The sequence below is a fragment of the Homo sapiens genome, chromosome 12, assembly GCF_000001405.40.
Source record: "Homo sapiens chromosome 12, GRCh38.p14 Primary Assembly".
NCBI classification, from domain to species: Eukaryota; Metazoa; Chordata; class Mammalia; order Primates; family Hominidae; genus Homo; species Homo sapiens.
In genome coordinates this window covers 101775520-101796814 of record NC_000012.12, presented here as the reverse complement: position 1 = coordinate 101796814, position 21295 = coordinate 101775520, and the positions used below count along the sequence as shown (strand labels likewise).

Genomic DNA, 21295 nt, shown 5'->3' with positions numbered 1-21295 from the left:
ATATACTCTTAGTCTTTGATGCGAAGAAAACGTTTCTTTTTCTTTGTTCTAGGTGGTTCTGGAATGGAGCCGAGATCAATACCATGTTTTGTTTGATTCCTATAGAGACAATATTGCTGGAAAGTCCTTTCAGAATCGGTAAGATCTATTTTGGAGAAATCTATTATTTGGACCTAAATCGTAAGTCATGAAATAGCCATCCTGTAAATATGACAGTTTAAGGGGTCTTTCTGAGTTATAGATATGGTTTAATTTACTCAGGAGTATGCCCATCTGATGTGTTCACTTTAGCAGCACATATACTAAAAAAAAGGAAAAAAAAACTGGAACGATACAGAGAAGATTAGTGTGGCCCCTGTGCAAGGGTGACACACCAATTCATGAAGTATTCCGTAAGATATTTTTTTAAAATAAGGAAAGAAAATATGTCCATCTGAAGAAAAGTGTGTTCACCACATTTTGTGGGTGAAAAATCTGATTCACAGAGAGTAATCCCACCTTGTAGTTTATTGGGTACCTTAAATTGCATGATTGCATTTTCTGTCTCCCCAGGTCTGTGAGGTAAAGGGAATTTCATCCCCCTGTAGGATGAGGAAACCAGGTGGCTACTACACAGCGGTTTCTGAGCCCTGGCCGGAATTCTGTTGACAGCGTCCTGTGAAATGGGACCACTCCCCAGTAAACCACTGGGGCTGAACCCCACTCCATTGGTCACTCTTGCTGCTTACCTATGAGGGAGGAGCAAATAGCCTCATACCTCATTAGTGTGGGTCTTTCCCTTGGAAGGCCAAGCTTCTTAGTGCCGCCATTCTGGAACGCAGTCTTCACCATTTCTTGTCTTTGGGGATTTTTTTTTTCCTCTTCACAAGACAGACCTCAGAATGGAAACAATTTTTTTCAACACCCTCCTTCCCTTTTTGCAGATAAAATGAATCACACAAGTCCTTTCTGGTTTTTGTTTCTGTCTTCTCACTATTTTTTTGGTTTATTTTAGAAAATGTAGTAATTTCATTATAAAAGGTGTTTATTTTATTTTATTTTATTTTTATTTTTATTTTTTTTTGGAGACAGAGTTGCACTCTTGCCCAGGCTGGAGCGCAGTGGCACGATTTCGGCTCACTGCAACCTCTGCCTCCTGGATTCAAGCGATTCTCCTGCCTCAGCCTCCCAAGTAGCTGGGATTACAGGCATGCACCACCACGCACAGCTAATTTTTGTATTTTTAGTAGAGACGGAATTTCGTCATGTTGTCCAGGCTGGTCTCAAACTCCTGACCTCAGGTGATCCACCCGCCTCGGCCTTCCAAAGTGCTGAGGTTACAGGCATGAATCACCGCTCTCGGCCTATTCTCATTTTAAAATGAATTAAGTATTTTTAAAATGTTTCAGTTTTATTTTCAAATATGGCAAATGTGGATAATTATAACCTTATAAACTAAAGCACTTTGGGGTCCATACTAATTTTTTAATTTTAAGGGACCAAACAGTAAAAGTTTGAGGACCATTCCTTAATATAGCAGTTCTGAAACTTTAGCTTGCAGTGGAGGGCTTAAGAAAATAACAGTTACTTCCCAGCCCAGAGTTTCTGCGTATAGGTTTCAGAGGGGTTCTGAGAATTTGCACTTCTACCAAACTTCCTGGTAATACCAAAGTTGCTGGTCTGGTGCCCCCACTGTGAAAACTACTGCATTAAAGGATTTTTAATGAAATATAATTTTCACTTTAACAAGTTAATTTCCCTAAGGAAAGTTCTAAATTGATTAACATTTTAAAATCAGATATTTATTGATTTGTGCCTTATGCTGTGCCACGTGCAGATGGTGCACAGATGCATAGATCCCTGCCCCGAAGAAGCTTCAAACGTTTTTAAAAATTTTTAAATTGATTTTAAAAATTAATTAATTATTTATTTTTAGAGATGAGGTCTTACTGTGTTGCCCAGGCTGGTCTCAAACTCCTGGACTCAAGCAATCCTCCCATCTTGACCTCCCAAAGTGCTGAGATTAAAGGGATGAGTCACCATGCCCAGCTGCTTTAAACTTTTAGAAAGAAAACTAGCTTATTAGAAAATGCAGATTTTGAGGTCAGCAGTTTTAATCAAACACTCTTGTTCTCTTTCTAAAGAAGTTTAGAAGGTTGCATTAAAATATAGTTTGATTTTTATGTAGGCATATATTCAAAATTTCCTCATTTTGATGATGACAAATAAATGGATCATATATAACATTTCACATGGTCTAATATATTTTAAGATACCATAACATTGATATATTTTCATTATTTTGCTAGTTTCTGTACAGATTTTTTATTTTTAAAATTTATTTATTTTAATAGAGATGGGGTCTTGCTGTATTGCCCAGGCTGGTCTCGAACTCCTGACTTCAAGCGATCCTCTTACCTCAGCCTCCCAAAGTGTTAAGATTACAGGTGTGAGCCACCATACCTGGCCAGTATAAATCTTTTTAAGGTTGTTTGCTCTGAATGAAAAAAATCCCATTCCATATGTCAGTAAAAGTGAATATATAAACTATTCACTGCTACTAATTGTGAGGCATTAAGTCAATCCGAGGCTCAATTTTGTCATCTGTAAAATGTGGATATTAGATTAAGAGCTATTGTATTAGATTAAGACTACAATCTCTTCCAACTCTTTGGTTCTAAAATACTATTGAAGGCCAGGCACGGTGGCTCACGCCTGTAATCCTAGCATTTTGGGAGGCCAAGGTGGGCACATCACATGAGGTCAGGAGTTCAAGACCAGCCTGGCCAACATAGTGAAACCCCGTCTCTACCAAAAATACAAAAATTAGCCAGGGCGGTGGTGGTTGCCTATAATCCCAGCTACTTGGGAGGCTGAGGCAGGGAGAATTGGTTGAACCTGGGAGGCATAGGTTGCAGTGAGCTGAGATGGCACCACTGCACTCCAGCCTGGGCGACAGAGCAAGACTCTATCTCTAAATAAGTAAATAAATAAATAAATAAATAAGTAAGACAAAATACTATTTAAGTTCTCTGTTTTCTCACCTACTTTATAGAATGTAGAACCAAGGGACTGTTAAGTGGCTTTAATATTCACTTAAACTAAACAGTGATTAAAATGAAAGTTATGTCAGTGTCATTGCTGCTTTGGTTCTGAGTTATGAGTGACTTAGTCTTAGTTTTCAGCTCCAAGATAATGCATTCCTTCTCATCTGTGAACCAAGATAGTGGTCTAGTGGTTAGAATGAAAGATTCAGAGTGTGACCATGTCTAATAGGAAAACAACTGACTCATTGACCTCGTGCAGATCACACAGTCTCCTTCCATTTGTCAGTTTTGCCAAAGTTAAATTGATCATGTAATACATGCAGTATATTATGTTTTAATCAGCTAAATAATATAATATAAATGATATATTAAAAATATTTAGTAGCAGGAAATATTTAGTTACAGGAAAGCTTAAGATGTAATTCTCCTCTCCTTTAACCTTTTCTTTTAAAAACACATCACTGAAGCAGTTTTTTAAAATTTATTTTTAGACTGAGCATAAATCACCTGGGAGGTTGGGAATGAGATGACCTTGGATAATTTACATGTGGGCAGTGTGAGGCAGATGGATTTTTTTTTAAATGAGAAAGACTGATATATATGATAAAGGAATGAACTAATAGTTAGGCAATAAATATGTATTAAACCCCACCCATGTAGGAGGAACTATTCTAGGCCCTAGGTATATAGTGGTGAACAAAATGAACTCATTGGCCTTATATAGAATTGGCATTTTAGTGGGGAAAAAAAGCGAAGTGTGTAACCTACATATAAATCAGTGGTTCCCAAAGTGCAATTTCTGGACCAGCAACATCAGCATTACCTGAGAGCTTGTGAGAAAAGGAAATTCTACAAACATTAGAATTTATTTATTGATAAATTCAGAAAAACCCTAGATAGGGAAACCTTTGCAAATCATTACAGTAGGGAGAGAGAGCCCGAAGGTGTAGGAAAGAGAGGAAATAATTAATGAAGCAGGGCACAGAATGCATGATAACATTTCTGCCCTAGAGATACTCCATCTAGTGGAAGATAGGGCTGCATGGAAAATAGCACAGCACAGTACAATCAGGATTCCTTACAGTTCAAAGTAGTGTGGAAGCTGCATATGAAGCTATAGATTCTCTTTGTGAGAGGTGAGGGAAGGGAGGGAATTGAGGAAGGAGGAGGTGGTTAAAGGAAGCATGAAAGAAAGAATGTTCTAGGCAGAAGGAAAAGCATATTCAAAGGTACAAAGTCCTGCAAGTTCGTTTCATCTTTGGACAAGGGTATACAATTGGATCATCCAGAACATAAGGTGCAGATTATGAAAGACTTTAGACCTTATTCTGCAGGCAGTGGTGAAACTTGACAAGACATTTGGTAAGTACTCAGCTATCACATATGCCAGAGAATAAGGTGATTCCTTATTTTCCAGATGAAGCTCTGGAACTCTGTTATCTCTTTGACCTTCATCTCAACTATTCTCTTCCATTTCCTCTCTCCCCTCTGCTCAGGGAACTCGCCTCTGGGTCCTTGAACAAGCAAGATAGGCGCCTGCCTCAGGGCATTTGCCTTTGGTGTTCCCTTTCTCTGGCACATTCTTCTCTCAGTTACCCACCTGGCTGGCTTCCTCACTTCCTTCATATCTTTGCTGAAATGTCACCTTCTTACTGAGGCCATCTCTGATCTCCCTATTTAAAACTGACCGCCCCGCCTCCCCATAGACACTCTTTCTATCCCCATTTGCTGCTTTACTTTCTCCACAACATTTAACATCATCTGACTTTATTTATTTGATTTACTTCCTGTCTTCTCCCTTCTGGAATGTAAGCTCCGTGAAGGCACAGATTTGGGCTTTGTTTTATTTACTGCTGAAACCCTAGCACCTAGAACAGTACCTAGCACATATTAAGCGCTCAATAAGAATTATTCAGTGAATGGAGAAACTCATCCAGTTATCTCCCCTACTTCTTGTAAGCTAAAGGTTGTTTCATTTCTGTTAATTTTTTTCTTTCCATAATTCAAAAGATTTAGCTACCAAATAGCATTTATTTTCCCACGAGATAATATGGTAGCAACTGAAAGTCTAGGCTGTGCCTGGGCTGTGAGGAGGACAAAAGGAGGGTATGCTTTGGTCCTTGGCCTAAAAATAAAACTGCAAAACCCATACAGTTTCTTGGAAAGTACTAAACTTGAAATAGCACTATCTAAAGAAAATTTGCCCAACCTGTGGGCCGTATGTGGCCAAGGACGGCTTTGAATGCGGCCCAACACAAATTTGTAAACTTCCTTAAAACATGATGAGATTTTTTTTTTTTTTGCGTGGTTTATTATTTTTTTTTTTTTGGCTCATCAACTATCTTTAGTGTTAGTGTATTTTATGTGTGGCCCAAGACAATTCTTCTCCCACTGTGGCCCAGGGAAGCCAAAAGATTGGACACTGCTGATCTAAAGTAGTATCAGTACCCAGATGTACACATGAACTCCTGTGTCATAAGTCAAAGTGGCATGCATCTGGGCAGGCCCCTGAAAGATGGGTAGGTTTTTGGTAGTGAGAGAAAAGGGAAGAGTGCTTTTGGCAGGGATAAAATCTGGGTAAAATCACTAAGGTGAGGCTTAAACAACATACTCAAGAATTAAAAGCCTGCCTGACTCTTTATTATGAGGACAAGATGATCAGGAAGAAATGGTGCAAGTTCAGGAAGGTCTTCTGTACTAGTGTCTCATATGTCAGCATATACTTATTGGTCACCTGTGTGCCAGGCACTCTTCTCATTGCACAGATACTTTAGAGAACAAAGCATGAAAGTTTTCTGCTTTCTTGGAGCTTACATTCTAGGAGAGGGCCACACATAATTAACGGAATAGGTTACAAGTTAATTATTTAATATGTTACAAAAGTAGTAAGTGCTGTGAAAAAAAAAAGGAAAAGCAGAGGTGAGGCTGGGGAGGGTGCAGGCTTGCGGGGGAGCAAGGCACAAGAAGGCTACAGCATTAAGTAGGGTTAGGTCTTCATTGTGGGTTTTGATAACTTTTTTTGTAATTTGTTCTTTTTTTTTTTTTTTTAGAGACAAGGCCTTGATCTGTCTCCCAGGCTGGAGTGCAGTGGTACGATCATAGCTCACTGTAGTCCCACCTCAGCCTTTTGAGTAGCTGGGACTACAGATGCACACCACCATACCCAGCTAATTTTAAAAATTTTTTGTAGAGACAGGTTCTCACTATGTTGCCCAGGCTGGTCTCAAACTCCTGGGCTCAAGTGATCCTCCCACCTTGGCCTCCCAAAGTGCTGTGGTTATAGGCGTGAGCCACTGTGCAGAGCCTGTAATTTTGTTCTTTAAACTTCTAATTTATTTTCTATGTTTGACGGCATTTGCATCCCAGCTCCCTTCTTTGCTAAATTATGAGAACAGGCAGTTTAATGTAAACTGAACTTCCAAGACTACTCTACTTCACCCACGAACAATCTTTAAATCTAATATTAGCCTTCTTACAGAGTGGCTGTGTGCATCAGGTGATGCAAATTACCTAAGTGTCTAGCATAATACAACTCACAGAGGAGGTACTTGACAAATATTAGCCCCCCAGCTACAGTTTGAAAACATGCAGTTCTGTGATAATATGTCATGGTTGGATTACTTCTTCAGAGATTTTTTTCATAATCTCTGGGTTTAAACCCTGTGATATTCTTATTACCAAATATATTGGAAAAATGCATTTAAGCTGGAGGATTTGTTGGTTTGCCCTAGGCTTTGTCTGCCCATGCCGATTGACGTTGTTTACACCTGGGTGAATGGCACAGATCTTGAACTACTGAAGGAACTACAGCAGGTCAGAGAACAGATGGAGGAGGAGCAGAAAGCAATGAGGTAAAACTGATTTTTTTTTTCACATCAGATGGGTAATGTGGCGATGTAATAAGGTCTGAGGGTGGCACATCTCACATATGAGCATGAAAACCCAGTCATCATGCTAATGAACTACAAAAGGATCTGGTAAAACTGATTTTTAAAAAACAAAACAGGCCAGGCATGGTGGCTCACACCTGTAATCCCAGAACTTTGGGAGGTGGAGGTGGGAGGATCACTTGAGGCCAGGAGTTCAAGACCAGCCTGGGCAACATAGTGAGACTTCATCTCTACAAAAAATAAAAAGTTTGTTGGGCGTGATGGTGCACGCCTGCAATCCCAGCTAATTGGGAGGCTAAGGCGGGAGAATCATTTGAGCTCAGGAGGTTGAGGCTGCAGTGAGCCGTGATTGTATCACTGCCCTCCAACTTGGGTGACAGAGTGAGACCCTGTCTCAAAAAAGAAAAAGAAAAGAGAACAAAACAAAACACATAGTCCTGTGGGTACAAGTAAGCATGCATTAGAGAAGGGTAAGTTGATTTTCACAGTGCCATCCAAACAAACTTGCCCCTCAGTTCATGCCATTACGAGATCTTGGCAGTCATCCATCTGGCCTGTGTTTCTTGGTGCCCAAGGAGAACTCAGCCACTTTTGCCAGATACTGGCCTCACTTTGTTAGATGATGATTTTATGAATATGGTGCTCTAGTAACGGCTTGCTCTTCAAGGGACCTAAAGACAGAGGACCCCCTCCCCCAACCCGCTGGCTGCCTACTCACTCATTTTGAGCCCCAGGTGTGGTATCTTCTTGAAATAAGTGTTTATTATGAAAAATATCTCCACAGTAAGACAGATTCTTCCCTTGAAAAATATAATAGGCCCACAGACTTGTTTCCATTTGAAAACGGCAGTAAAAAGTATACTCCCTTTATGCCTTTTAGGAATAAATTACAGACTATGGAATTAGAAACTTTGGTACTTTTTATTTAATATATGAGATTGGTCATTTTATTTACTTTATCTGGGAAAGTTACAGCGGACTTCTGGATAGCCATAAGAGGTAGGAACCTGGCTGATGTAATTCCCCTTTGATTCGTTAGGAGTATTTCTTAGTACCTACTTGTTGACTTCTTTGTGAATGTCAAGAGTGCACCCCAGTGCAGGTCTTTGGCCACCTTATATTGGAGCAAATTCATTTTCTCTTTGTTAGAGGTTATATGACTTTCCCAGTGCATGAAAATGGCTGACAGCCTGGTACCATGTTTTACTAATAAAATATGAAAGTTTATGCTCTAAGCAAACCGTCTTGGTTACAGTGGGAGGTATAGTAGCCCATATGTATGTAATAAACTGTATTTGCTTTTTATTAGAGAAATCCTTGGGAAAAACACAACGGAACCTACTAAGAAGAGGTAAGCATTTTGATTTCCTCTCAAGAGTAAAAAGTGAAGGATTGAAGTGAAATTTCAGATTATCATTTGTTTTTATTGGGTACACAGGATTTTGTGTTTATTATCCATATAGTTTTTGACCCCAAATTAGGTACATCTATTAGACAGGAAATTTTGCAGTGCTGAGTGCATAGTTGACTGAGAATTCTGGTTATTTTGCTAACCAAAGCTTCACTGCACTGGGGAGGGTTAGAGTCCCAAGATTTCCTTCTCTTTAGTTCCCTCTTGGTGCATTGTTATCTTGGTCCACTTACACTGTATCTTCTACCCAGTATTTTCATTTATAAAATTTATGTCCATCATTTACTTATAGGTTCAATATATACATCCTTATCTTTAAAAGCTGTGAAGCTGTATATTTTATGTTTAAGAACCTGGGAAGGAGATTTAGCCCAACAACAAGAACCAAATACACCTATCTCGACTTGAGTCATTCCTGACTCTGATAGGTCCTTAAAACAAGACTGTCTCACTGACAAGCAATCTCTGTTAATTGTCACCTCCCCACTTAACCATCAGACTTTTAAAAACACTTATTGATAGAGAAGATCCTGAGAATTTCAAGATCCAGAAGTGCCTTTTTTTTTTTTTTTTTGAGACGGAGTTTTGCTCTTGTTGTCCAGGCTGGAGTGCAGTGGCGCGATCTCGGCTCACCGCAACCTCCGCCTCCCAGGTTCAAGCAATTCTCCTGCCTCAGCCTCCCGAGTAGCTAGGATTATAGGCATGCACCACCACGCCTGACTAATTTTGTATTTTTAGTAGAGACGGGGTTTCTCCATGTTGATCAGGCTGGTCTCAAACTCCCGACCTCAGGTGATCCGCCCGCCTCGGCCTCCCAAAGTACTGGATTACAGGCGTGAGTCACCGCATCCGGCCTCAGAAGTGCCTTCTAAGCTATCTTTTATGTTAATTATATAGCTTTATTTATAAATTATATTAACATTAATACTGTTTTTTAAATGGTTTTTAAATTATTTAAATAAAAGCAATGGTGCAACATGAAGAAAGATTGAGAGGAAAGTGAAAAGCAAAAACTCACAAAATTTTATAAATCTTATTTAACAACTGTTATTTTTATTCCCTTTTCATGCATATTTGAATAGTTGTAGTTTATAATCTGTGGGCAGTTTTGTATCCTTTTTAAACTTTATGTAATTATATGTATGTATCATGTTGATGCATTATCTTCATGCTTCATATCTTTCAGTTTTAATAGTTGTATAATATTCCATAAAGTGACTACTGTAATTTACTAAATGTTGGGCATTTCTGTATTTCACTATTGTCAATATTTCATGATACTTATATTTAGGTCTGTGGCATTTTCTGTGTGTGGGTTTGTTTTTCCTGTTTTGTTTCTCTTCCCTACTTGGACTGGACTAGATTCCTAAAAGTAAGATTACTGAGGACGAAGCTTATGTATGTTTTTATGGTTCTGAATAAGTATATATGTATACATATGTGTATTAGACAAGCATACATGTATATATTACCAACTTGCTTTCCCAAAAGATTTGGTGTCGTTTGGAGTGACACCAGCAGTATTTAAGAGAAGGAGATTTACTGCACTTGTGCTAATATTGAGTCATCATTTTTTGAGGGGTGCTAATTTAGTAAAGGTGATAGCTCATTGTTTTCTTTTACATGTCTTTATTAAGGAAGTTGAACAATTTTTTATACTGTTTAACTGGTTATAGGTCCTACTTTGTGAATTTTCTAGCCGTGTCCTTTGCCCATCCATTTGTTTATTCAGGTAATATGTTTATTGTAGATATTTCTTATAATCAGATAGAAATATCTCATATAAATTTATTTTAGAACCATGTCACAGTTGCTTTTGTTTACATCAGTGTAGTGTCACATCCAATGTATTTAGTTGTTTTCTAACTGGAATTGGTAACTTGTATCTGGTAACATGACACTCTATTAACCAGAATCTGCCTCCTTCCTAATCTGTCCAATAATGGGCTTTATTGGAATTATGAATAATCTTTAAAAAATGATAGTAATGAAGTGCTTAATTTCATGTGCATTTTGGAATTAGTAAATATTGGTGGGGATCTTATTAATGGGAGTTTGAAAGCTCTATCTTTGGAGTTGGGTTTAACAATTTTATATCATACTTGCTAACTTAATTTTTGTATCCATGAGATAAAAGTCTTCATTTGTTAAAATATTATCATTTTTTATGGGCTATAAAAAAATCTGAAAAATTTAGTAGTATGACAAGCTTCTCATTGCTGATTAAATTTCAAGAATGTAATTGTAAGCATGTTGGTGTTTCTTTCCAGTGAGAAGCAGTTAGAGTGTTTGCTAACACACTGCATTAAGGTGCCAATGCTTGTCCTGGACCCAGCCCTGCCAGCCAACATCACCCTGAAGGACCTGCCATCTCTTTATCCTTCTTTTCATTCTGCCAGTGACATTTTCAATGTTGCAAAACCAAAAAACCCTTCTACCAATGTCTCAGTTGTTGTTTTTGACAGTACTAAGGATGGTAAGATCTTTTTATGGATATTTTAAAATCATGTTATCATTGGATGTTTGAATAACAAAATTCTGAGTGGAATAGAAATGATTCATTCTTAAATGTCTGATAAACTTTTCTAAAAATGCACAAAGAGAAGCAAAACAGCTGCTATTGTATTTTGGCCTTAACCTCAAAAAGGGATTGCTGCATATATTTTACTCTGTGTAATACACATACCTTTCTGTGCTGTGATGAGGACTTTCAATCTGATATCACAATTACCTTGTTCTCTTGGCTCTGAATTATTCTAGAGGCAATTTTTCTACTATATAACTCCTCTACTAGGTAGCGTTCTGCAGTTTGGGCAGAACATACCTGGAGTATTGATTCTTTACATTCTGAAATATATGAACTGAATGTGTTTCCTCCAAAATTTGTATGTTGAAATCATAACACCCAGCATGATGGTATTGGGAGGTGGAGCCTTTGATGGGATTAGTACCCTTATAAAAGAGATCCCAGGCTGGGCATAGTGGCTCATGCCTGTAATCCTAGCAATTTTGGGAGACTAAGAAGGATTGCTTGAGCCTAAGGAGTTCAAGACCAGCCTGGGCAACATAGTGGGAACCTGTCTCTACCAAAAAACAACAACAGCAACCAAAAAAACACACAGCTGGACATGGTGGTATGTGCCTGTAGTCCTAGCTACTTGGGAGGCTAAGGCAGGAGGATCACTTGAGCCCAGGAATTCAAGGCTGAGCAGTACTCCAGCCTGGACAGTAGAACGAGGCCTTGCCTCAAAATAATAAATAATAGCAAAAGAGACTCCAGAGAGCTCCCTCTGCTCTCCACCATGTGACGTTATGAGAAGATGCCATCTGCAACCTAGAAGAGTACCCTCACCAAAACCCAAGCGTGCTGGCACTCTGATCTCAGACTTTGGCCACCAGAACTGTGAAAAACAGATTTCTGTTATTTATAAGACAACAGATGATTTGGGCAGATAATGGAATTAAAATGGTAATTCCTGGCATAAAACTGCACCCACATCCTTAGAGATCCCATTCTCCCACTTGACCAGTGTACTGCTGAGCCCATAACCTGCGTCTTCTGCTCTAGCCTCTTGTCTGTCTCATTCCTCCTCTGCATGGATTGTCTCTATTTGGAAGGTCCGTGGTTTTTATGTGTAAAATGAAAGCTGCCGTGTTCCCTTTCCAACACCAAGTCTAGTTCTCTAGCTCCCATTCTATCAGTGTCATACCTCCCAGCTTAAATCTTTGGAACCATCTTTGACTCCTTACTTTTTACATCTATAACTAATAATTAACTTCATCCTATGACTTGCTTTTTTTTTTTTTCCACATGATTCTTAGGTTCTTACCTTACTTATTTCCTCCACACCAGACTGAATTCCCTCACACAGACTCCAATAATCGGACTCCTGCTCTGTCTATGTAAAGTCCATCTCAGTCTGTCTGGCACACAGGTCTCACATAAATCTGAAAACCCTGATTTTATGGGTTCACTGCCTTTATGAAAAGAATAATATAGCAGTTCATGTTTGCTTTTCACATGGATACAAACTTCTCTTCCTGGTGTTTGGGATTCAGCTCTAATTGCCTTGATTTTGTCAGTTGATCCCCACATCCCTGCCCTCCCTGCATCACATTGCAGCTGTCAGTGTCTTCACACATGTGGTGCTAGGCCTTGTGTCCCACTGCCTGTCCCCTTCCCCTTCCCTCTCAGTACATCCCCTGCTTCGTCCAGCCCCACTTCAAGTCCTCTCTCCTTCATGAAGCTCCTGGACTAATATATTCACAATGATTTTATTTTTACTTTTCTGTATTTCTGTAATACTTATAATCTAACTCATGACTTTAGGTTTTGATTGCACAGGAGTTTATGGTTTTTCTCATGGAATTTTTTTATTGAACAGAAAACTTACCACTCACCAGTTTATATCCTGATCAGTGTCTAACAGTGCTCGCTCCCTGATACTTAACAAGTTATTTTTAGTTTGAGGTTGGGTGTGGTGGCTCACGCCTATAATCCCAGCACTTTGGGAGGCCAAGGTGGGCAGATTGCTTGAGCTCAGGAGTTCAAAACCAGACTTGGTAACATGGCAAAACCCTGTCTCTACAAAAAAAAAAACAAAAATTAGTCTGGCATGATGGCATGCACCTGTAATCCCAGCTACTTGGGAGGCTGAGATGGTAGGATCGCTTGAGCCTGGGAGGTTGAGGCTGCAGTGAGCTGAGATTGCACCACTGATCTCCAGCCTGGGCAAGAGTGAGACCCTGTCTGAAAAAAAAAAAAAAGTTATTTTTAGTATGAAAGGAAATGTTAACCTTTCCAAGTATAAATGTCTGCCCCTTCACTCTATAGATCCTGAACTGATTTGTACCTCAGCACTCACATATTCGAACTGCAGCCTGGAGCTGGGTCTACTCAGCAAAGTAGTTTTTCCAGTCAAGCTTATACTTTTTGATTTATAGCAAACAAATTTCCTCCAGTGGCAATTCATTTTACCTCTAGACTAAACTGACTTTTAAAAGGAACCACAAACTGCTTCCTTATAACTTTCTCACGTAGGTTAAAGCTGTGCCTCCTATGGTCACACAGAACTCACGTAATCCCTCTCCCTTGGGACATTTTATTTTCCTTTCTTTGGCTGTCTCTCAGGGACTTGTCAGTGTCCCAGTTTGCTCTTCTCAGATTACTTTTAAAATGTGTCAATGGGAAGTGAACATTCTATTTTAGTGTGGTTCTGTCTTGGCAGGGAGAGCAGGACTGTCTGTTTAATGAGTGCTTATTAAGTGCCTGCTGTGTGCCAGGTACTGTTCCCTGTACTGAAGATACAGCAGGGAACAGATGGGCAAAAATCTCTACCCTTACCTTGTGTTTACATCTTGGTGGAGGGAGTCAGAGAGTCAGACGGTAAACACGATAAATAAGTAGATTACATAGTTTATAGAAGATAATGCTTTAGAAAAAAACCAAGCAGGGGCAGCAGCAGAGGAAGTGTCGGCCAGGGCAGGGGGTTGCAATTCTAATTTGGATGGTAGGGACATTGCTCACTCAGAAGGTGACTTTTGAGTGGAAATGTGAAGAAGGTGAGGTAGCCAGCAATGCGAATATCTGGGGAAAGACTGATCTGGGTAAGTAGAATAGCCATTGCAAAGGCCCTGAGGCAGGAGTGTATCTGGCATGTTTGAAGAAAAGCCAGGAGGCTAGTGTGGCTGGAATGGAGTGAACAAGACAGAGGCAGGCAGTAGATGAACCTGAAGAAGTAAGCAGGGGACCAAATAGTGTAGGCCCTAGTAACCATAACAAGGACCTGGCTTTAACTTGGAGTAGGATGAGGAATCACCAGAGGGTTTTGAGTAGAAATGTAATGTGATCTGACTTACATTCCAGGCAGTCAATCTGGCTTCTTTGGTGGAAATAGACTGAGGAGGGGCAAAAGTTGTGATAATTCAGACAAGAGGGAAGGTTGCTTAGACCAGGGAGGTGCAGTGAAGATAAGAAGTGGTTGGATTCTGGACATTTTGAAGGTCAACCCAACAGGGTTTCCTAATGACTCGGTGTTAGAGAACATCATCACCTTTTTTATTCGACGTACTTTACTTCTGTTTAAAAGCACAAAAATGTGATGGAAATTCAGTGTGGCCACAGCACATTGTTGACTCATACTGAACTCACTGTTGAGTAAAACTTATCTTTTTAAAAAAAAAACTTATATATTCTAATGCTCAAATACCTATTTTAGTGTATGCTTGTGTAGTTGGTTTTGGTACCATATATAAAGGTTTTACTTCATAGGAGATTTTATTTTGCCAGATTTGACTCATTGCTCCAAATAGTCACAAATTTGGGAAATCCATAGTCTCTTATCCAGGACAATAGCTTCTCTGCCATCTTCCTATGAATCTACACATTTCACAAGCATGCCTTCTGTAACTTCCAAAACATTGATAGAGGGTTCAGCAAGACCGGACCTATGACTAATCTCCTAAACCTCCCTCTAGGTTGATTGCGGCTTTGTTACCTACACCTCTTTGGTAGAATTGGTTAAGTTCTAGCCCACCTGAGCATCGAGCCTGTATGTCTTTGTTATATCCATGAAGATGACATGAGATGCCCTTAGCTACTTTGCTGAGATTACAAATACATATACCAGGTCTGTTAGGTAGAATTCATCATATCAATGGAAAGAGAGAGAGAAAAGTTTATCTGATAAAGTTGTAATGAATTCATACTCTTAACAGCCAGTGCTTCCTTTAAAGATAAACAGTGTATTATGAAGGCTTTCTTTTCTCAGTGCTCACCAACTATATTGTTTTTTTTCAGTTTTTGAGACCAGGCCTCACTCTGTCACCCAGGCTAGAGTGCAGTGGCATGATCATGGCTCACCACAGCCCCAACTCCGGGGCTCAGATGATCCTCCCATCTCAGCCTCCTGAGTAGCTGGGACTATAGGTGCACACCACCACACTCGGCTAGTTTTTGTGTTTTTTGTTTGTTTGTTTGTTTTTTGTAGAGACAGGGTTTTGCCATGTTGCCCAGGCTGATATAGAACTTCTGGGCTCAAGTGATACTCCTGCCTCAGCCTCCCAAAGTGCTGGGATTACAGGCATGAGCTACTGTGCCCTGTAACTATAGTACACTTGAGACTCATGCCCAGGATTGACATCTCATCTCATCAGGCTATAATTTGGAGAACCTGCCTTCTTTGTTTATCTTGAAGATCAGAATTGGAGCTTTCTGACCTCTCTTTTGTTTTCCACAATCCCTGAATGTCAGCAGTGAGTTTGTTGATCTCACTTGTCCCCATCACTAACTCTCTCCCAGTTGGGCTGTGTCACCCCCAATCCCTACTGTGACTTATGATGCTCCATTCAGCAGCACCCAATGAACTGGGGATTCATTATGAGAAAACTGTGCCTCTTAAGGAACCACAAGATCCATAGTAGCCCCCTGCTGTTAACATACATGCCACTGCCTGGTGTTCAAGGGCCCCTTTGGTTACCCTTGTTTCCTAGTACTCACCACTCCCAAATATTTTACTCTAGTCAAACAATTCTTTCTTTTTCCCCCTGTCTTTGCATATACATCTGTGATTTCTATCATCCTATCATTTCTGTCTTCGCATTCTAGCTTAAATTTGACTGCTCCCATGAAGAATTCCCTTTATGTCAATCACCTTTGGTATTGTGAAATTTAACATTTCAACGTACACTGATTTACATTGTTCCCCTTTTGTTGAATGGGCTAATTTTGTCTCCTTCAGCTTCCTTTTTTTGGACCATATATTATGCTGCTTTAATAGCTCTCAGAATGTTTTCACAGTGTTCTGCCAGACACCATAGTTGAGTATTCATTAAAAATGTGCTTGTTTATTGTATTCTTGGTTGTAGTTGAAGATGCCCACTCTGGACTGCTTAAAGGAAATAGCAGACAGACAGTATGGAGGGGCTACTTGGTATGTTATTTTAAATTTAATTGCATTTTTACAATAGACTAGAATAAAAATATGAATAATAAAGCTGTTTTTCTTTGAGAATCTTTTTAATGTTTATTTTTTATCTAAGGGTAGCTTACTAATATTAATGACTGTTGATTCAAGTAATCCTAAAAATCATATTTTGAAGCTTGTGTTGTGATGCAATAGATCTTTACCAGTTTTCTCAGCTGTAGGTTTTCACCAGCCTCATGATGTGGAAAATGAGTTATGTTTTTCCCCTTATTTTAGACAACAGATAAAGAAGTCCCTGGATTAGTGCTAATGCAAGATTTGGCTTTCCTGAGTGGATTTCCACCAACATTCAAGGAAACAAATCAACTAAAAACAAAATTGCCAGAAAATCTTTCCTCTAAAGTCAAACTGGTAAGAACATAGAAAATAGAGCAATTAGCCTGGCACATTCTCATTTAATGTGTGATTCTTTTCTTGTGGTCCATTTTTTTCCCCCAAAGTTTAGCTGATAAACATAAGAAGCAAAGAGGGATTCTGTTCTGCCAGAAGAGCCTCACTCCTTACTTTTAATTTGGGCAAAAATCTAAGAGTCTTATTTGGTTTGCTTGTTTCCTGGATAGAGAAGGACTCATTTGTTTAACAGATGAGCTCCTACAATGTCTCCCATCCAAGTAGTAACCAGGCCCAACCCTGCTTAGCTTCCGAGATCAGACAAGATCGGGTGCGTTCAGGGTGGTATGGCCGTAGACGAGCTCCTACAATGTCTTAGGTGACATTACAGCTGCTGGGGATGCAGCAGTGGACAAAACAGACAAAGGCCCGGATGGAACTTAGGGTGTGAACAATGGAAGCATGGGAGGAGGAGATGAGGGGAAGTCATAAATGTCATCAATGCACACAGCCTGTTGTTTACCCAAAGCTTTCACTCATAAAGGTAGTGTGCTTCAGATACATGGAACATCTGCTAATGAGAACCATTCATTAGTAACTAATTGAGGGACAAATGTATTTAAAATTTATACTTATTAGCTCTTCAGGCTTGACCATTGATGCCACTTGTTAAGGTGGACTCTGGAGGCTGGCCTGGGACGTGCCTTTTCCTTAACATGTATTGTTTTCAGATCCTTTATCTGATTGACTTAGGACATAGTCCATGTGGGTGTTCTCTCTATTTGACCTTACGTCAAGATGCCTGCTATTCTGTCAGAGGTGTTTCAGGTTGTAAATCGTGAATGTCCCATCTCTTAGAGTAGAGAGCATAAAGTCCTTGTCTCAGAATTTGTGAGGCTCTAGTTTTCCTGATTTTATAAAGAAATGTTCTTTGAGTTCTGCCACTGGGTTTAGCTTACCTGATTCTTACTTCCTCCTGTTGTATGTCATTTAACAATTTTGAGGGTGAAAGGATGAAGATGGAGTAGTGGTGGGGGAGCTGTGATTAGAGGTGACTAGAGAGCAGTTTTTACTTAGTTCCTGTCTTAACCATGTTTTTATATGCACCCCCCAACCAAATTCCTTTTAACTTGTTTCTCCCTACCCCAGACCAAGTGTTTTACTGTTTTATGATACATTGTATTATCCTTGTAATACAATGGTAATGTGAATAACCACTTATGAATTTTTTACTTTTTTCATATTTTTCTTCATAGCTTTTTTTTTTTGGAGAGAGTCTTGCTCTGTCACCCAGGCTGGAGTGCAGTGGTGCGATCTGGGCACACTGCAACCTCTGCCTCCCGGGTTCAAATGATTCTCCTGCCTCAGCCTCCAAATAGCTGGGATTACAGGCATGCGCCACCATGCCTGGCTAATTTTTGTATTTTAAGTAGAGAGGGGGTTTCGCCGTGTTGACCAGGCTGGTCTCCAACTCCTGACCTCAGGTGATCCCCTCACCTTGGCCTCCCAAAGTGCTGGGATTACAGGCGTGAGCCACTGCTCCTTGCCCTTCATGACTTTCTTTATTGTACTTTGAAATACTGTAATGCCTGGCTATATTAGAGTTGAATTTGTTCTTAAATGCAGTTATTTTAGAATAGATAATACATCTCTCCTTCCTCTGAGTTATTTTTAGTACTGATTTGGACAGATAAAACCATAGATTAACTTTCATTTCAGCCAATGTTTATTTGACTTCTTGGCTTCCTGGTTATTAGTTCTAGAATTATAGACACATGTATATCTGTACTTTTGACCACCAGTTCAACTTGCTTATGTAGACAGAATGGCATTCTTGATTCTATTTATATAATTTCAATAAAATAAATGCTGAAAAGAAAGAAGGTTCATTCCACTTCTCCATACTCCACTCTGTTTGAATATCCCACATCACTTGGCCTGCTGCAGCTGCCCACCAGTGCGGACTGCTCTCATGCGTCTACTGGTGGATGGGTGTGTGCTGCCAGAGAATGCCAGTCCCGAGTCATGGTTGACAATTCAGCAAACTATTTTTGGGTGGCATGTGTGGTATAAGCAGGTCGAGGTGGAGTGGGGTAGCAATTTGAATTGAACAAGGAAAACCAGCAGGCTCCAGGTGTGGTGAGACTCCTTTCCACAGTTCAGTCTCCCAGTCAGAGATTTATTTGGATTTTCAGAGTTGTCTTTGTGGAGGCCAACACCTCTCAGAGCATCAAGCTAATCACACATAATGTTCTTTGAAGGTTGTTTTCATAATTCCAACACCTGTGATCAACTTCAGGGACTAGGACTTAAGATTTTTAGAGACTAGAGAGAAAATGAGAAAGAGGAAGAACAGACGCAGTGTCAGCATTTGAGTCCAGGCCTCGAGTGACTTGCTTTCCTTAGGCTTTGCTTCCTGATTACATTATGAGTACTCTGAGAATGAAGTTTCCTATCACTGCGTTCCCAACCAAACAAAACACCTTTTGTGTGTATGATGAGCTCCAAATAAGAGTTTATACAGAGTGCCATGAGAACATCTGGGCTTTAGGTGTACTTGGGGTCAAGGCAGGCTTTGCATAATAGAAGCATTTTAGCTGGGCCCTAAACAGAGCAGCCATTCTCCCAGCAGAGAAGGGAGCAGAAGAGACCATTCTATGTAGAGGGAACAGCCTGAGCAAGAGGGCTGGAGGCCTGAACATAAATGGTGTTTTCAGGGAACCAAGGCAATGGTTTCTAGCACAGGCAGGGATTTTGGTGAGGATGAGATTGTAAAGACAGGTTGAGGCCAGGTTGAGAAACGTCTCTGTTAAGAATACTAGATTTTTTCCTGTAGGCCGTGGAAGGACACAGTCTGATCTGCTTCTAAGGAACATACTAGGGAAAGGTGTGGTAGGAAAACCAGTTCAGCTGCTGCTGCCATAGCCCAGTAAGACGTTCCCATGCAAAAGTTGCTTGGCAGTGGGATGCCAACGATGGAAATGGTTCCAGAAGCATCTGAGAGAAACACTCAACATCACTTGGTGACTTACAAGCTATTCAGGAGGAGGAAGAGGAGAATGAAAGGGGAGGTGGACCTTTCTGGTGAAGATAGAAGTGATGGAATTAACCACACTCAGAGCTTCAGTGGCAGAAGCAAGTGTCTTTTGGAAGGAGACCCAGAGCTCAGTTTCGGATGTGTTGCATTAGGGGTGTACGTCGCATGTCAGAGGAGAGGGCTGTTAGACATTGGACTTCAAGACTTGAACTGTTGAACCACTTTGCCCTCGCAGGTTCCCCCAGGAGGCCTTTGCCATGGCCTGTGGCCCTGGAGCCACCTAGGGCTCAGCTCAGCTCTGCCCTACAGATTCTCACTAGGCCACGGGTATCTCAGGACAGGTACTGCCCTATTCACCTTTTTACCCTTAGTGATTACTTGGCACTTAGGGGGCTGCTTAAGGAATGAGCCATATGAGGCAATATCTTGGGATATATAGGGAAACATTTTCAGCAGTATGATTATTCACAGGAGTCACTCTAGGCACAGAAATGTGTCTTTGCACATTGTTGTATATACACAACTAGGCCTTTGTCATCCTGTTTAGAACAAAACCTGAAGTTTTTTGTTTTTGTTTTATTAACTGAGGCAGGAGTGTAGGACTTGAAAATAGTTTCATTTGTAAGATAATGGATTTGAATTCATAAAATCTTTTGACTGTAGTCTTATAAATCAGTCTTTTCTGTAAGAGACTTTCTAATTTGAAATACCTTGAGGTGGGTCCTTTAATAATCTGATTAATTACTCTCTAATTTATCTGTATAATTTTTGTGTATGACGGACACAGAATTCAGCTTTTGATAAATCAGATCATCAGTCCTTATTTTCAGATCCCTCTAAATCATTTTGTATCCATAGAACATTTTCATTCATGGTGGGTTTTTGCATTTATTTTTTGATTTTTGCTTTTGTTCACTTCTTTTTTAAACATATTTTAGAGCAAGTGGGAAATCTTCCCAAAGCTGTCAAGTGAATTCTCATGCTAAGTTTCCTTCAATTATAGTAGTTGTTGAGTGAGTGTGCAAAACGTGGAGGAGATGTAGACCCTGCCCTCAAGCATTTATAGTCACATTTTGGAAGCAGCGTGTGTGTATAGAGTTGGCAGTTGGAAACAGGAAAAGTCTGTGTGGGTCAGAGACATGGGGGAAGTTTTCAAAGAGAAAGAGGCTGCACTGGGTTCTTGAAGACTGAACAGGTGGTTTGTGCAGGCAGGATGGGAACAGCATATTGTCCTGCATGGACTCTGCCCCCCTCAAAGCTCTGGTCAGGGCCTAAGGTCACAGTAAATTGTCATAATTTTCTACTAATGCCCTTTCTTTTAGATAATTCTCTGAAACCACTATGTGCACTTGTTCTTTTAAAGCACGGTACCTTTTTCTTTTTTTGTTTTATTTCTAAAATAAAGATGAAACAACCAACTCTGAAACTGATTAAGTTTTAGAAAACCACCAGGACGTATTAAGATCTAGTAGCGGCCGGGCATAGTGGCTCACGCCTGTAATCCCAGCACTTTGAGAGGCCGAGGCGGGCAGATCATGAGGTCAGGAGATTGAGACCATCCTGGCCAACATGGTGAAATGAAACTCCATCTCTACTAAAAATACAAAAATTAGCTG

At 40.0% G+C, this 21295-nt stretch overlaps 1 protein-coding gene, 1 non-coding gene and 2 pseudogenes across 4 annotated transcripts in view, besides 1 other annotated feature; 2 read left to right on the top strand and 2 right to left on the bottom strand.

Moving 5' to 3' along the window:
• GNPTAB (N-acetylglucosamine-1-phosphate transferase subunits alpha and beta) overlaps positions 1-21295 on the top strand; it is an 85461-nt gene that overhangs the window by 34145 nt on the left and 30021 nt on the right. For all 3 annotated transcript variants that reach the window (NM_024312.5, XM_011538731.3, XM_006719593.4), the window contains exons 2-7: positions 53-138; positions 6758-6877; positions 8226-8267; positions 10598-10803; positions 16194-16258; positions 16529-16663. In NM_024312.5, coding sequence (NP_077288.2) covers positions 53-138; positions 6758-6877; positions 8226-8267; positions 10598-10803; positions 16194-16258; positions 16529-16663 — 654 coding nt within the window. The remainder of the gene's footprint in view (positions 1-52; positions 139-6757; positions 6878-8225; positions 8268-10597; positions 10804-16193; positions 16259-16528; positions 16664-21295) is intronic.
• Positions 313-405, top strand: RNU6-172P (RNA, U6 small nuclear 172, pseudogene; annotated as a pseudogene).
• LOC124903105 (small nucleolar RNA U13) lies at positions 6900-7000 on the bottom strand. The gene has a single exon (XR_007063642.1). It is a non-coding gene; the product is annotated as a small nucleolar RNA U13 (small nucleolar RNA).
• Positions 8789-8985: a silencer, noted in NCBI's record as "fragment chr12:102181608-102181804 (GRCh37/hg19 assembly coordinates)". NCBI's record gives its function as "represses an EF-1alpha promoter that drives an FKBP-Casp9 reporter gene in an ReSE screen in K562 erythroleukemia cells {active_cell/tissue: K562}" and the evidence as "EXISTENCE:reporter gene assay evidence [ECO:0000049][PMID:32094911]".
• RNA5SP368 (RNA, 5S ribosomal pseudogene 368) lies at positions 16886-17001 on the bottom strand (annotated as a pseudogene).